Consider the following 15,047-nt stretch of genomic DNA (forward strand, 5'->3'; position numbering starts at 1 on the left):
CACCTCTGGGAGATGTGGGAGGGAGGTACTGGTGGCACCACTAAACCTGGATGGACTTGAGAACTGAAGTCCTTGAGTGCTCTGTCCTGCCTCCTGGAGACATGTCATTCCCTCCCACTGACTTGGAGCAGGGGATGGGACATCCCGCCTGCCAACAACCCCTAGCTGATCTACATCAAGCATTTGGTTTCCATTTCCCAGCTCACTAATAGAGATCAAGCCCTGATGTTGGCTGGGGGTTGGGGGCTGGGTTTTCCACTGGCAAGAAGGTGGGGTGGGAGTAGGGAGGAAAAATGGAGACTTGAACTGATTCCAGCCTTGGATTCAGGTTGGGGAATCTCTGGAGAGCTGGCCAAGCCTCTGGGCCCTGCTTGCTCTTCAGGCCCTGAAGTTCCAGCCACTGCCATCTCCCACCTCTTTCCAGGAAAAGGCTGGTTGTCCTAACCCCGCTGTACCCTGAGCCACATTCTGCCACCAAGCTGCTCCAGGAATGTTACGAGGCATGCAGGATTTGGGATGCCTGCTCGGTCCTCTTTCCCAGTGTGGGGGGCTGTTATGTGGCTGTGTGGTAAATGGCCTGAAGTGTTACCTGACAGAGATTCCCCCTGTATTCCAGGCCTCTCTGACCTCGAAAGAGAAAGTCAAGGTGATGTGGTGGAATGGAGCTGGGAGGCAGGCTGGCCTCTGGGATGTTGGGTCAGGACCGTGGGGCAGACTTCTGGGCACACCCATGGAGGAGCAGACACTGCTGCAGCCAACCAAGGGTCTAATTAGATCCTCACTTCCAGAGTGACCTGTCCCCTCTTGTATCTGAAGCTCCAGGGTTGGGGAGGGTGGGGTCAGGGAGTGTAAGTGGAGGGAGTAGCTGCAGATAATTAGAAACATGCTCTACCGAGTGAGCAGGCGCCACCAGGACCACCCCACCCCTCACCCCCACCCCCCACCTCTTTTCCTTAGGTCCCCAGCCCCCTTCCCTTCTACCTGGACAATTCCAGCCAAACTGGGGGAGGCGCTGGTGGAGCCTGGGAGCAGCAACTCGGTGGGATTGGCTTCCTAGGCCCTTACACAGTCTCTAAAGTGCAAACAACATATTTTTGCCATGCTATAGTATTTAATTACACATAAAAACAGAGCCATTAAGCTGAAATTAAACCCTTGTTGGAGTCACTTAATTCAGGGCATGACAAATTGCTTTCAGTGGAGGCGGCAGTGCAGTCCCCCAGGGAAAGATGGAGATTAGTGGCTTCCATGGCTGGCTGGGTCCCCTCCTTCTCTTGGTCCCCTTGCCAGCTCTAAATTCTGAAATTGGGGTCAGAACCCTTTTTCTGAAGACCACCCAAGCCAAGGGGAAGCCTCTAGGTTTGTTCAGGAGGATAGGAATAGAGGGTTGGGGAATCACAGAATCACTGTCCAACCCAGTTTTAGACAACCCAGTATATTTATTGATGGGGAAGTCAAGGCCCAGACACCAAGGTTGTCCAGAGCCAGGATTAAAACTCTGGCACTAAGCCATAACTAGAGAGGCTGCTTTTTTTCCTCAGGCTTGTGTCCTTTGACCTTGGGCCTGAAGACAGAGGTTGAGGTTGGGGCCGCATGGATAAGGGGTGGGAACCAAGGCAGACCCTGGATGGGGAGGGCAGACTTCTCCAGAACTAGATTCCCACCTGGTCAAAGTCTGGAGACAGTGGGGAAGGGAAAATGACCCTGGGGTTTGGGCTGTCGAGGCGGCCATCACTTCTGGTGGGCGGCCTGGAGCCCAGACTCTGGCATCAGGCAGATCTGGCTGCTGACCAGCTGAGTGAGGTTGGGCAGGTAAGACCTTTTGCTCCCGTGAGCCTCCGTTTTCCCATCTGTCAAATGGGAGTAGTAATTCCTATCTAGAGTTGTGGAGACCATTATATGGGCATGATGCATGAACAGGCTTGGGGCTGAGCTCACTAAGTTCTGTTAGACTTCCTTCTCCGGACTTCAGTTTCCTCATTTATAACAAGATCCAGCTGGGATCTGATGGCTTTTGGAAGCTTCGCTTGCTCTTTTTATGCTGGCAGCCCTTCGTCCTCCCTCTAGCCCCTTTCTTTCCTTCCCTTTCCTTCTTTCTTCTGTGGGTTGAATGTCTAACTAGGGACAGAAGTCTGGGTCTGTGGTCAGACGATTGGGTAGGAAAGGGAGGTCTGCACCCCCTAAGGTTTCCCTGCCCCATGTGGCCCTCCTGTGGCTGTGTGTGAGGCCCATCTGGAGGGTGAAAGGAGACCAAATGGGACAGGGGCCGCGCTCGGGGAGGGGCTTGGGGGTCCTGCAGCAAGGGCGGGCTGCTCGTTGTCTGTGGCCTCCCTCCCCATGTGTCCTCTATGATCTGGGAACCTGTTCTCCTGATTGGAAACAGATGGGTCTGCTGCGGCTGGAGGCCTAAGCTTTCTACTCACTCCATGTCCTCCCCCAGGAGAGGAGGCGGGGGTAGACCAAGGGCAAGTGGTGGAGGTGTGTGTGGGGTCCCTCTTCGCAGGGGCTGCGGGGGAGAGCCCTTCTTCCCTTCTCCGTCTCTCTTGTGGCCTGGAAACCTTTCTATTAGCCTACAGAGGGTGGCTGGCTGTGGACAGCCTCTCACTGAGGCATGGGTGGGCAGTTTGCTACCTTACCTGATGCCATCCTCTAGGAGCAGTACCCGCTGCCCTCACCTCCCTACCCTGCCCCCCATTCTCAGAGCTCAGCTCAGCTGCAGATTGTCAAGTGGGGGCTGACCATGCCTGACCCCTGGTCTCCTGGAGTAGCCTTAAGGTCATTTCCTTCGCCTCGGCTTCCTTGGTTTTGGCAGACAGAGAGGTTCCTGCACTGGGGCTTGAGTGGAAGGGCTGGGGCTGGGCTGGGGCCCAGGGTTCCCATCATATCAGGCCTGGCAGCCACCTGGCTGCAAATGGCTCCCCAGCACAAATGTTTTGCAGCTGTCCCTCGGTCGGCTTGCCCTGGAGAGCCTTGAGACAGAGGTGGGGAGTCCAGGAGACAGAGGGCACAAGTAGAGAGCCAGGGTGGGTGGGGGACAAGCCCAGAGGGCCGCCCAGCAGACCCAGGCTGCTGGGAGAGTGACACTGATGAGGAATCTCCAGGTTCTTGAAACAGCCTCCGCAACTTGCAAGGGTTGGGATAGGGGCTTCCCGAGGCAGGATGACGGGGAGCAGGGGCTGCCTGGCAGGGCCAAAGCTCAGGGTCTCTGCTTCCCTCCTGGGTCCTGGTCTCTTGAGTAGAACCAGAAACTTCTAAGTTGGAGCAGTGGGGAGGGGAGCTCAGCCTCCACCCCACCCAGGGGAAATTAGACCAGACTTCCCAGGAAATAATTTCAATTTTCCAGCATCATGGAAGCCTAGTCGGACAATAGAGGATTTTTTCCCCCCAAAAAATTTTTAAAAAAGCACAAAAAAACTCCAATTGCCTTTGGCTGAGCTGTTTTCCAACTTCATTTCTCAGCCACAGTTCAAAACTTCTCATTCAAAGTGACATGTGACTGCTCTGTGACCCTGGTCCGCTCGGCCACCGGCCCTGTGAGGGGTCAGGCCAGGCCAGCACAGAACTCGAGCTCCCAGAATCTGTGACCACCCCCACTCCCAAAAGCCTTCCGAGGTCTGCTCTGGAGACAAGGCCCGCAGGACTGTCTCTGGGCAGCCCCAGCGCCTCACAATGAGGGAGGGGCTGCGGTGGAAACAAACCTGCCTCTGAAAGAGAGGAGAGTTTAGGGGCGGGTGATTCCTACAGCCCAGGCCCAGGCCCACAGGGGTTTATGTTACAATATAAACTGGGGCTTTAACAACTTTGAGACAGTTTCTTATTTTTAGGGTTGGGGCGGGGAGTGGAGGTTGTCTTAAGAATGCAAATGGGGCAGGGCACAGTGGCTCACGCCTGCAATCCCAGCACTTTGGGAGGCCGAGGTGGGTGGATCATGAAGTCAGGAGATCAAGACCATCCCGGCCAACATGGTGAAACCCCGTCTCTACTAAAAATACAAAAATTAGCTGGGTGTGGCTGTGCGTGCCTGTATTCCCAGCTACTCGGGAGGCTGAGGCAGGAGAATCGCTTGAACCTGGAAGGTGGAGGCTGCAGGGAGCCGACATTGTGCCACTGCACTCCAGCCTGGGTGACAGAGCGAGACTCCGTCCCCAAAAAAAAAAAAAAAAAAAAAGACTGCAAATGGGCCTTGTAAACCCCTCCACGGGGATGTTCTTAGGGCTCTAATGAGTGGGGAAGGCCCTGCAGGCCAGGGAAGGGCCAGCCTCCAGTTGTACTGTCTGCAGTCAGCAGCCCTGGGACACTGGCAGAGGACAGGAGGGTCGGTGCAATCCTAAGTGGCAGGTGGGCAGGGAGGGGGTAAAAGGGGGACGAGCAGAGGCTGCCAGGAGGCAGATCTCAAGGTTCTGGGGTGGGAGGTAGGAGAGGGGGCAGACCACACAGGAGGCTTTGGGGAGAGCAGGGCAGGGTCACGGCTGGAGAGGAGAGAGCAGGGTGTGTGTGTGCATGTGTGTGTGTGTGTGTGTGCGCATGTGTGCACATGTTCAGGGGAAGGGAAGAGATGGCTCTATCTTGTGGCTGAGAAAGGTCATCCCCAAGAAGAGCAGGGTTGGGACCAGCATGTTCCTCTCTGGCAGGTCCATAATGAAGATGGGAAACCGAGGCCTCGATGGGCCTGAACTGGCTTGTCGGAAGGTGTAAATGAACTGGTGGTGGAAGCAGATTAGAACTCAGGGCAGTATTCTTTCCCCCAGTGTCTCCTGGTGGGATAAAAAGGGGAACCTAAATAGGAAGGGGCACTTCGGGCACCAGAGAGGTGAAGCTAGGCCAGGGGCTTTCATTTGGGAGGAAGGAAGGAAGGGGGTGCAGTTTCTGGGCAGAAGAGCCATGATCCTACATGAGGGGGACGGAAGTGTGTGAGGTCCTGCTGGGGACCACACACTTATGTGGTGGCCTTATGTACCTGAGCTCAGGGGCAGATGAAGGCAGTGGAGAGGCATCTGGTTAGGACCCTGTGTAACACCCTCCAGAGGCCTCCTGTTGAATACCTTCCTTGGCCTGTAGAGCTCTCTCCGAGTTTCTCCAGCCCCTTTAGTGTGATGCTGCCAACCTCAGGGCCTTTGCACGTGCTGTTCCCTCTGCCGAATCACTCTCACCCCTGCTCTTCACAAGGCTGGCTCCCCTACCTCCAGCCTTCAGCCAAATGTCACCTCCCGTGAGAGTCCTTCCCTGACCATCCTAGGTAAAGAATCTCCCTCAACCTTACTTTTCTACCATCTTGTTTATTTCCTGCATAATGTTTTTCACAATTGTTTCTTGGGTTCCCCTGTTTTGCTAAAACACATGCTGGTCTTATTTAATTACACTTGAATCTCCAGAGCCGGGTGCACAGTAGGAGCTCAACGAATGCTTATTGAATGAATAAATGAATAAAAAAGGAAACAGGAAGCAGTCCTGGGTGGCTGCAGGGCTGAAGGCTTCTTATAAGGGGACCAGGGTCCTCTGCCCAGTCCTGCCTTTCTCTTCACTCTTCCTACCCTAGCCCCGTGGGGTCCCTGAGGACAGCCCAGGTGGCAGAAGCCTTCCTGGGACAGGAGAGCTCAGTGCAACAAGAAAGCTGGCACTTGAGGCCAAGCAAGGTGGCTCATGCCTGTAATCCCAGCACTTTGGGAGGCCGAGGTGAGCGAATCACCTGAGGTCGGGAGTTCGAGACCAGCCTGACCAACATGGAGAAACCCTGTCTCTACTAAAAATACAAAATTAGCTGGGCGTGGTGGCGTATGCCTGTAATCTCAGCTACTCAGGAGGCTGAGGCAGGAGAATTGCTTGAACCTGGGAGGTGGAGGTTGCGGTGAGCCGAGATCGCGCCATTGCACTCCAGCCTGGGCAACAAGAGCAAAACTCTGTCTCAAAGAAAAAAAAAAAAAAAAAGCTGGCACTTGGATAACTTTCTTTTTTTTGTTGTTGTTTTTGTTTTGAGACAGGGTTTTACTCTGTCGCCCAGGCTAGAGTGCAGTGGTGTGATTATGGCTCACTGCAGCCTCAACCTCTGGGATCAAGAGATCCTCCCACCTCTTGAATAGCTGGGACCACAGGTGTACACCACCACACCCAGCTAATTTCTGTATTTTTTTTGTAGAGACAGGGCTTCGACATGTTGCCCAGGCTGGTCTCAAACTCCTGGGCTCAAGCCATCCTCCTGCCTCGGCATCCCAAAGTTTTGGGATAACAGGCATGAGCCACCCCAGCCAGCTAGCCGTCTTTCTATCTATGCCTCTGTCTTTCTGTGGGTTCCTTTGCCTCTGGTCCTGGTTCTCTTATTTGGTTCTTATCTTTCCATTTTCTGTGTCTTGCTGTCCTGTGCTCCTGTCCCTTTTCTCCCTCTCCATCTCCCTCTCCCACTACCTCTTTTTTTGTTTGCTTGTTTGTTTGAGATGGAGTCTCACTCTGTCACCCAGGCTGGAGTACAGTGGCGTGATCTCAGCTCACTGCATCCTCCTCCTCCCTTGTTCAAGTGATTCTCCTGCCTCAGCCTCCTGAGTAGCTGAGATTACAGGCGCACGCCACCACACCTGGTTAATTTTTGTATTTTTAGTAGAGACTGAGTTTCACCATGTTGCCCAGGCTGGTCTCGATTTCCTGACCTCAGGTGATCCACCCACCTCAGCCTCCCGAAGAGCTGGGATTACAGGCATGAGCCACCACACCTGGCCTCCCCCTACCTCTTAAATCTGCCCCATCACTGGGTTTTCCTGCGTGCTGCTCCCCGACACTACTCCGTGGTCTGCCTGGAACCGAGGCATGCCCTCTCCTGCCACCACAAAAGACCCTCCGCAGTGCGAGATAGGCTCTGTCATAATGCCAAGGCTGCCTGGCTTTTGGGAGGGGAGGTGGATGGAGGAAGTGAGGGTGAGGCACCAGGGATCTCCCCACACACCTGCCCCCAAACACGTTGTCTGAGGGCTCAGGCGGCCCCCACCCTTCAGGCAGGGCAAAGTGGGTGGTTCTCTGTTCATCTTCCTCCTCTCCTCCACCATGCATTGGTTTCCATCTTGGCAACTTGGGAGAATGATTGGCTGCCCTGTCTGGGAGGATGGTCCTCATGAGGGTATCTCAGAGAGTCCTGCCTGGCTGATGGGAGGGGTGGGACGGGGCCCTGACTCAGAACTCAGGTTTTCATCCCTATCCTAAGCTGGATCCTCCTGGCCCTCCGCATTTCAGGAGAGGGTTCCATCATCATTCCTGTAGGCTGGAACCCTGGGAGTCCTTCTAGATAACCCCCTCCCCTACTTCTCACTCCTGTTCCATCTTGAAGTCCTGTGGATTTTAACTCGCAGTACCTCTCCACTCTATCCCTGCTGTCCTGCCTCCATCCAGGTCCTAGACGTAGCCTCCACCATTGCTTCCCTTGCTTATTCCACAGCCATTCTCAGCTTATTAATCGCCAGGTTTTTTTTTTTTTTGACAGAGTCTCGCTCTGTTGCCTAGGCTGGAGTGCAGTGGTGCAATTTGGCTCACTGCAACCTCCACTTCCTGGGTTCAGGCAATTCTCCTGCCTCAACCTCCCAAGTAGCTGGGATTACAGGCGTATGCCACCACACCCGGCTAATTTTTATATTTTTACTAGAGATGGGGTTTCACCATATTGGCCAGGCTGGTCTTGAACACCTGACCTCATGTGATCCACCCATCTTGGCCTCCCAAAGTGCTGAAATTACAGGCATGAGCCACCGCACCTGGCCCCCAATCAGTTCTTCCTACAATACCAGGAAATTGAGTCCTGTCAGCCTCTTGCTTCCCTGGCCTCTCAGGGAAGGGTCAAGACCAAAGCCCCCAACATGAGCTGGAGGTCCTGCTTGGCCTAGCCCCTGCTGACCTCACCAGGCCCCCTGCCCCTCACACCCCCTTGCTCTCTGGGGCCGCTAGCCAGACTGGCTGTATTGCATTCCCTTCCACCACAGGGTCTTTGCACATGCTGGTCCCTCTGCTTTCAATGCTCCCAATGCCCCCTCCTCCACACCCCCTGACAATGGATTTTTCTTCAGCTCTCATCTCAGCCATCATCACCTCCTCAGGGAAGCCCTCCCTGACTTCCCTGAGCAGGTCAATTCTCCTGAGTATTCATTTCAGAGCACCTTGAGCATCTTCTCAATGGAAGAATATTTAGTTAGGCATTCACAGTGCAGTTACTCTGTATCTTTGTCCCTCTTTTTCTTTTTCTTTCTTTATTTTTTATTTTATTTATTTATTTTTTGAGATGGAGTCTTGCTCTGTCACCCAGGCTGGAGTGCAGTGGTGCAATCTTGGCTCATTGCAAGCTCTGCCTCCCAGGTTCACGCCATTCTCCTGCCTCAGCCTCCTGAGTAGCTGGGACTACAGGCGCCTTCCACCATGCCCAGCTATTTTTTTGTATTTTCAGTAGAGACGGGGTTTCACCGTGTTAGCCAGGATGGTCTCGATCTCCTGACCTCGTGATACACCCGCCTTGGCCTCCCAAAGTGCTGGGATTACAGGTGTGAGCCACTGCGCCTGGCCTTCTTTTTATTTTTTTGAGAGGGAGCCTTGCTGTGTTGCCCAGGCTGGAGTGCAGTGGCGCAATCTTGGCTCACTGCAACCTCCACCTCCCGGGTTCAAGAGATTCTCCTGCCTCAGCCTCCTGAGTAGCTGGGATTACAGGCGCCCGCCACCACACCCGGCTAATTTTTGTATTTTTAGTAGAGGTGGGGTTTCACCATGTTGGTCAGGCTGGTTTTGAACTCCTGACCTCATGATCTGCCCGCTTCGGCCTCCCAAAGTGCTGGGATTACAGGCATGAGCCACCGCCGGCTATCCTTCATTTTTATAAGCTCCATGAGGTCAGGAACCTCATTCATCAGTGTAGTTCCAGGCTACATGTTTAGAAAATAAAAAACACAGGCCATCTAGTTCTGTGTGAATTTCAGATAAAGAACAAATAATTTTTTAGCATAAGTGTGTCCCAACCCCATCTCTAAGGGCTAAGCACAGTGCCAGATAAACAGGAGGCCTGAGGCAGATACTGAATGATTACTGAATAAATGTAGCAAGGGGCTTTCTGCCTGTCTCTTCAATGCCTACTGCCCATAGATGCTTTTCTCCTGTGCTCTGTACCCTTGGCACCTAGTAGCCCTATTTCTTCATTTTTTTTTTTTTTGAGATGGAGTCTCCGTCACTTTGTCACAAGCTGAAGCGCAGTGGTGTGACCTCAGCTCACTGCAACCTTCGCCTCCCGGGTTCGAGGGATTCTCCCGCCTCAGTCTCCCGAGTAGCTGGGATTACAGACATGTGCTACCATGTCTGGCTAATTTTTGTACTTTTTTGTGGAGATGGGGTTTCACCACGTTGGCCAGGCTGGTCTCGAACTCCTGACCTCAAATGATCCGCCTGCCTCGGCCTTCCAAAGAGCTGGGATTATAAGTGTGAGCCACTGGGCCTGACTTATTTCTCCATTTTGTAAGAGGGAATGTGTCTCTGTAGATTGCCTCGATTTGGGTCTCCTGTCTTCTGGCCCTGTTCTCTCTCTGGGTTTCCTTCTTTTCGGATGGCCCTCCTCCTGGTCTGTTTCTCCATGCCCTCTTTTATTTTTTTTTATTTTTTATTTTTTTCTGTTTCTCCATTTCTCTTTTTTTCCTGTCTTTTATTTTCTTGAAAAGGAGTTTCTCTCTGTTGTCCAGGCTGGAGGGCAGTGACGTGATCACTGCAATCTCTGCCTCCCTGATTCAACAATTCTCCTGCCTCAGCCTCCCGAGTAGCTAGGATTACAGGTGTGCACCACCACGCCAGGCTAATTTTTGTATTTTTGTAGAGATGGGGTTTCACCATGTTGGCCAGGCTGGTCTCGAATTTCTGACCTCAGGTGATCCATCCCCCTCAGCCTCCCAACGTGCTGGGATTACAGGTGTGAGCCACCGTGCCTGGCCCTGACTTTTTATTTTTGTCTCCCTCTCTCTTTGCTTGTCTTCCCTCCCTTCTCCCCATCCCATCTACTCACAAGTAGCTGGGGGTAGAGTGGTTTCCCGGGGGTCTCTGTCTTTCCCAGCCAGGATCCTTGGGTCTCATTATGGGGCGTCCACGAAGGAGACTTGCTCTGGCAGGAGTGGGTTTCAAGCACTGCAGGAGGAGGTAAATTTGCTTGGAGCATTTGGTTTGGATCCTTGGTCCTGATGGAAGATTCTGGGTGGGGGATTACAGGGGAGATGTGCTGGCTTCTAGGCAGAAAGAGAGAGGCATGACTTTTTCAATTTCCTGAGTAGCCTGGGGCTAGGGATCAGGGTGGGAGGGGGAACCTAACCCCCAATGGAAGAAGAGGCATTTGGCAGAGACACCAGGAGGGACAGACAACCCTGTCCTGGTGTGCCTGAAGGCAGGGTATTGGATTTGATGACCTTGGGCTCAATAAACTCCAAATGTCTGCTTTCATCTCCATCACCATCGTCATCATTATCATCAGCAGCCATGGGATCAGATTGCCTGGGTTCAGATCCCACTCTGCCACTTATGGTTGAACCTTGGGAAATTTACCTAATTTTTGAATCCACAGTTTCATGTCCATCAAATGAGGATAAATAATAGTACTTAGGTAGTGTTGTTGTCAAGATTAAATGAGCTAACATATGGCAAAGCTTCTAACAGATACTACAGACCTACCATGTGCCAGGCACTGTTCTAGACGCTGGGGATTCAGTGGTGAACTAGACGAGTCTCTTTCTTCATGGAGCCCTCATTCCCGTGGCCCAGCACTCAGCACACATTGAGTGCTCAGTGAGAGAGCTGCAGATATGCTGCCCTTCCCATAAGGAGCATTTATACAGCACCCCAGAGACTCTGAAGTGCATTCATGACTGGTGCATTTATAAGGCTTCCCACAAACTTCATTCTGTGAGGTGGGTATTACAGTTGAGGAAACTGAGGCTCAATGCCCAGAGAAGTGACTTGCCCCAAACTGTGCAGCTAACCAGTGGCAGAAGGGACCTGCCACCAGATCTGCCTGACACCCAGGTTTCCATTTCTTTTTTTTTTTTTCTTTTTTAAGACAGAGTCTCACTCTGTTGCCCAGGCTGGAGTAGAGTGGCATGATCTCGGCTTATTGCAGCCTCTGCCTTCTGGGTTCAAGCAATTCTCCTGCCTCAGCCTCCCGAATAGCTGAGGCATGCACCACCGCCCCTGGATAATTTTTGTATTTTTGGTAGAGATGGGGTTTTTCCTTGTTTCCCAGGCTGGTCTCGAACTCCTGACTTCAAGTGATCTGCCCGCCTCAGCCTCCCAAAGTGCTGGGATTACAGGCATGAGCCACCACACCTGGCTGGCTTCCAGTTCCTGATGCAGAAGAAGCAAGTGTGTGTGTGTGTGTGTGTGCGCGCGCACGCATGTGTGTGTGTGCATGCGTGTGTATGTGTGTGCATGCATAGATGGGAGCGGAGTGAACTAAGGATATGTCCTTGTCAGTGTTCACAGGGTGTCAAGTCTGAATTCTTGGAGGGGAGAACATTGCTTCCTGGGGCACACGTAGGCCCCTCCCCCAGCTCCTGGCCAACCCTGCCTGCCTGGCTCTGCGTAGTTCACTGGGAGTGCAGCGCATATTTGTTGAATGCGTGAATGAATGAGTGTGTGTTGCTTGCCCTCCTACCCCCTCCTCATTCTTCCTCTCTGGTTCCCTCCTTCCTGGCTTGTCTGCCTGACCCCCAGGCCTGCTCCAGCCAAGCTCTACTTGCCTTTCTTGGCTAGTCCAGATGGGGAGAGGAGAACACTGAAAAGCCTTCCAGGAAACACTTACAAAAGAAGCCCCTGGCTGGCCCTGGGAGCCTGGGAAATCGAGGGTCTCCTTTCCTGGGGCTGAGGGCTCCAGCCTGGCCAGGACTGCAGCTTGGTGGGGATGGGGAACATGACCGGGCAGGACTCTGCCTGGATGGGTGCTGTGGATTGAGCTGTGTCCCGTCAAACTCGCATGCTGAAGCTCTCACTCCCAATGTGACTATATTTGGAGATAAGGCTTTTCTGAGGTAATTAAGGTTCAGTGAGGCCACAAGGGTGAGATTCTAATCAGATAGGATGGTGGCTTTATTTTATTGTATTTTATTTATTTATGTTTTTGAGACGGAGTCTCTCTCTGTCGCCTAGGCTGGAGTGCATGATCCACCCGCCTCAGCCTCCCAAAGTGCTGGGATTACAGGCATGAGCCACCGTGCCCGGCAGGATGGTGGCTTTATAAGAAAGGGAAGAGAGGGAGAGGGATCTCTTTCTCCATGCACACACACTGAAGAAAGACCATGTGAGCACACAGGGAGAAGGCAGCCATCTGCAAACCAGGAAGAGAGTCCTTATCCAAACCTGGCCATCATGGCACCCTGATCCTGGACTTTCAGCCCCCAGAACTGTGAGAAAATAAATTTCTGTTGTGTAAGCTGCCCAGTCTATGGTATTTTGTTATGGCAGCCCGAGAAGATGAATAATACAAGGGGGAATGCAGGCCCCTGGTCCTGTTCTGTCTCACATAGTCCTCCCAAGCTCAGAGGGAACCAGGGACCCAGGCCTGGATCGAGCAGACTCCTGCACCAGCCTGTCTCAGGGTGAGAGCTCCTCTTCTTAGGCTCTCATCCCTTCCCTGGTCTGAACTCCAGGTTCTCATCCCAGCACCCTTCTCCCCAGCCTGGGCCTCAGATGCCATCTCCTGCCTCCACTGCCATATTTCTAAAGCAGAAATCTGGTCAATTACTCCTCAGCTGACATGTCTCCCTGATGCAGGGCAGGCGAGCCCCAAATTGGGGCTTAGCCTGGGAGGGTTCTTGGCTTCATTCAGGGAATAATTCAAGGGCAAGCGGTGATAGAAGAAAGCAGCTTTCTAGAGGTGGCAGTGTCACAGCCCTGTGACTGCTCCTGCAGAGCAGGGCTACCCCAGTGTGCTGAGAGCTGCAGCTCAGTAGCTTCCACACTCATATTTGCACCCACTTTTAAACACATGCAAATTAAGGGGCAGATTATGCAGAGATTTGTAGAAAAAGGGTGATAACTTCTGGGTCATTAGGTTGTTGCTGCCATGGAAAGGGGTGGTAATTTCTGGGTGTTGCCACGGCAATGGTAAACTGACATGTCACACTGGTGGGTGTGTCTTATGGAAAGCTCCTCCCACCCCATCCCTGTTTTAGCTAGTCCTCAGTTTGGACCTGTGTCCAAGCCCTGCCTCTGGAGTGCAGTCCCGCTTCCTATCTCATCCTCATTACCTATGGGATAAAGCCCAAGCAGGGTGCCATGTATGACCATGCACTGCATAGCCCACAAAATCATACACAGCAGGCCTGAGTCCCATCTCCTTCATTCAGCAAGTATTCAATCTCCAGACATTCTCAGCTGGCACCCAAGGGTCCTGAGGGTCCTGTTGCTGTCTTTTTCTTCTGCTTTCTCTCTCACCTACTCCCTTAGGTACCATGTACTTGAGCCACACCAAACTTGGTACATCTTTTCATACCTGTGTGCTTCACACACGAATGTCTCCATCTGCTTTCTGTGAATGCTGGGGCAATAGGATGGGCATGGACTTGAAATCCTGTTTCTCTGCCATTTACAGTTAGGTGAATGTGGGCAAGTTAACCCTCTGAGCCCCAGTTTTCTAATCTGTAAAATGGGATTAGGCTTATATAATGTGCCTCAGATTGTATGTAGCACATGAGAGCCCCTCCCCACTCCTAAAAGTTGGTTTCTAACTCTCTTTGCATGCCGAACTCCTATTCATCCTTGAAGACCCAACTCAAATGTTACCTTCTTGGTAACATTGCCCTCCTTCCCTTCAAGTGGGTAAAGTTTATCTTTCTCAGTTTCTACTCTTTCCACCAGCCCTGCATAGCACTTATAAACCTCTGTTGGAAACACTGTCATATTTTTCTGTTTTCCTGGTTCACATGAATAAAGCACACAGCCAGAAAACATTTGTTGCATGAATTAAGGCACTGGCCCCTGGGTTGAAAGCCTTTAACCCTACCCCTGCCCTGGGTCTAAGACCTTGCCCTGGGTCTAAGCCCTGGCACAAGAATGCAGGATCAGAGGCCAGAGATAAAACAGAGCAGTGAGCAGCCTCCGCCCTCGGTGGGGCACGGGCATGGGGCGGTGGCTGGTCAGATGGTCGGGGTAAGGGCACTTCAGCCTCCTGGAGAGGTCTCTGTAGCCTGAGAGCAGGCAGGGTTTAGAGGGTGTGGGAACCTGAGTTTTTGTTTGTTTGTTTGTTTTAGAGATAGCATGTTGCTCTGTCAACCAGGCTGGAGTGCAGTGGCACGATCACAGCTCACTGCAACTTCCGCCTCCCAGTTTCAAGGGATTCTCATGCCTCAGTCTCCCGAGTACCTGGGACTACAGGTGCGCTACCTTGCCCGGCTAATTTTTGTATTTTTTGTAGAGATGGGGTTTCACCATGTTGGCCAGGCGGGTCTCAAACTGGAACCTGAGTTTTGAGAAATGATTGGCAGTGCGAGAGTCTCCCCAGTTCCCTTCTGCTGCATGTCCAGCCACCTGGGACAACGGGGCGAGGAAATTCAACTGGAAAAGAGCAAGAAGGAGGAAAGGTTTCTCTGCAAAGGGGTGATCGAGTAGAGAAGGCATAATGAGGAGAGATGGTGAGAAAGGAGAGAGGGGAAGTGGGAGAAGAGAGGGAGGGAGGGTGGGTGGTATGAGTGTGTACGGAGATCAAGAAAGGGATGGAGAGGGATGAAAAGACTGGGGAGAGAGACACTGGAGCGAGGGCTGCGGCAGGGGTTAAGACCCAGGGCTATAAGGCCTGGAGCCTCCTGGAGAGAACACTCCTCTGGTGTCCTTGGGTGGATAAGATGGCTCCTCCCCTCCTGGTTCCTGGCTCAGTGGTTATCCTGCCTCCCCTCTGCTGTCCAGCCCTCCCACCCCTGCCGGGCTGGCTGCTTTGCCCTCAGCAGTCTTAAGTCAAGTTCTCCGCTAAACCTTCTTAGGGGAAACATGAGCTGTGGCAAATGCAGCAGAAATGATCGCCTTCCACGAACTCTGTTCCATGCTGGGCCAAGCGGGGCCACAGCAGGAGA

General features: G+C 52.7%; 2 annotated features.

The window, feature by feature from the left end:
* Window positions 11,125-12,016: an enhancer, noted in NCBI's record as "H3K27ac-H3K4me1 hESC enhancer chr17:38627029-38627920 (GRCh37/hg19 assembly coordinates)". NCBI's record gives its function as "activates a minimal SCP1, AML or CMV promoter by ChIP-STARR-seq in primed H9 embryonic stem cells {active_cell/tissue: H9 hESC(primed)}" and the evidence as "EXISTENCE:reporter gene assay evidence [ECO:0000049][PMID:30033119]".
* Window positions 12,017-12,906: an enhancer, noted in NCBI's record as "H3K27ac-H3K4me1 hESC enhancer chr17:38627921-38628810 (GRCh37/hg19 assembly coordinates)". NCBI's record gives its function as "activates a minimal SCP1, AML or CMV promoter by ChIP-STARR-seq in naive H9 embryonic stem cells {active_cell/tissue: H9 hESC(naive)}" and the evidence as "EXISTENCE:reporter gene assay evidence [ECO:0000049][PMID:30033119]".

The sequence above is a fragment of the Homo sapiens genome, chromosome 17 (assembly GCF_000001405.40).
Source record: "Homo sapiens chromosome 17, GRCh38.p14 Primary Assembly".
In the NCBI taxonomy this organism is placed as follows: domain Eukaryota; kingdom Metazoa; phylum Chordata; class Mammalia; order Primates; family Hominidae; genus Homo; species Homo sapiens.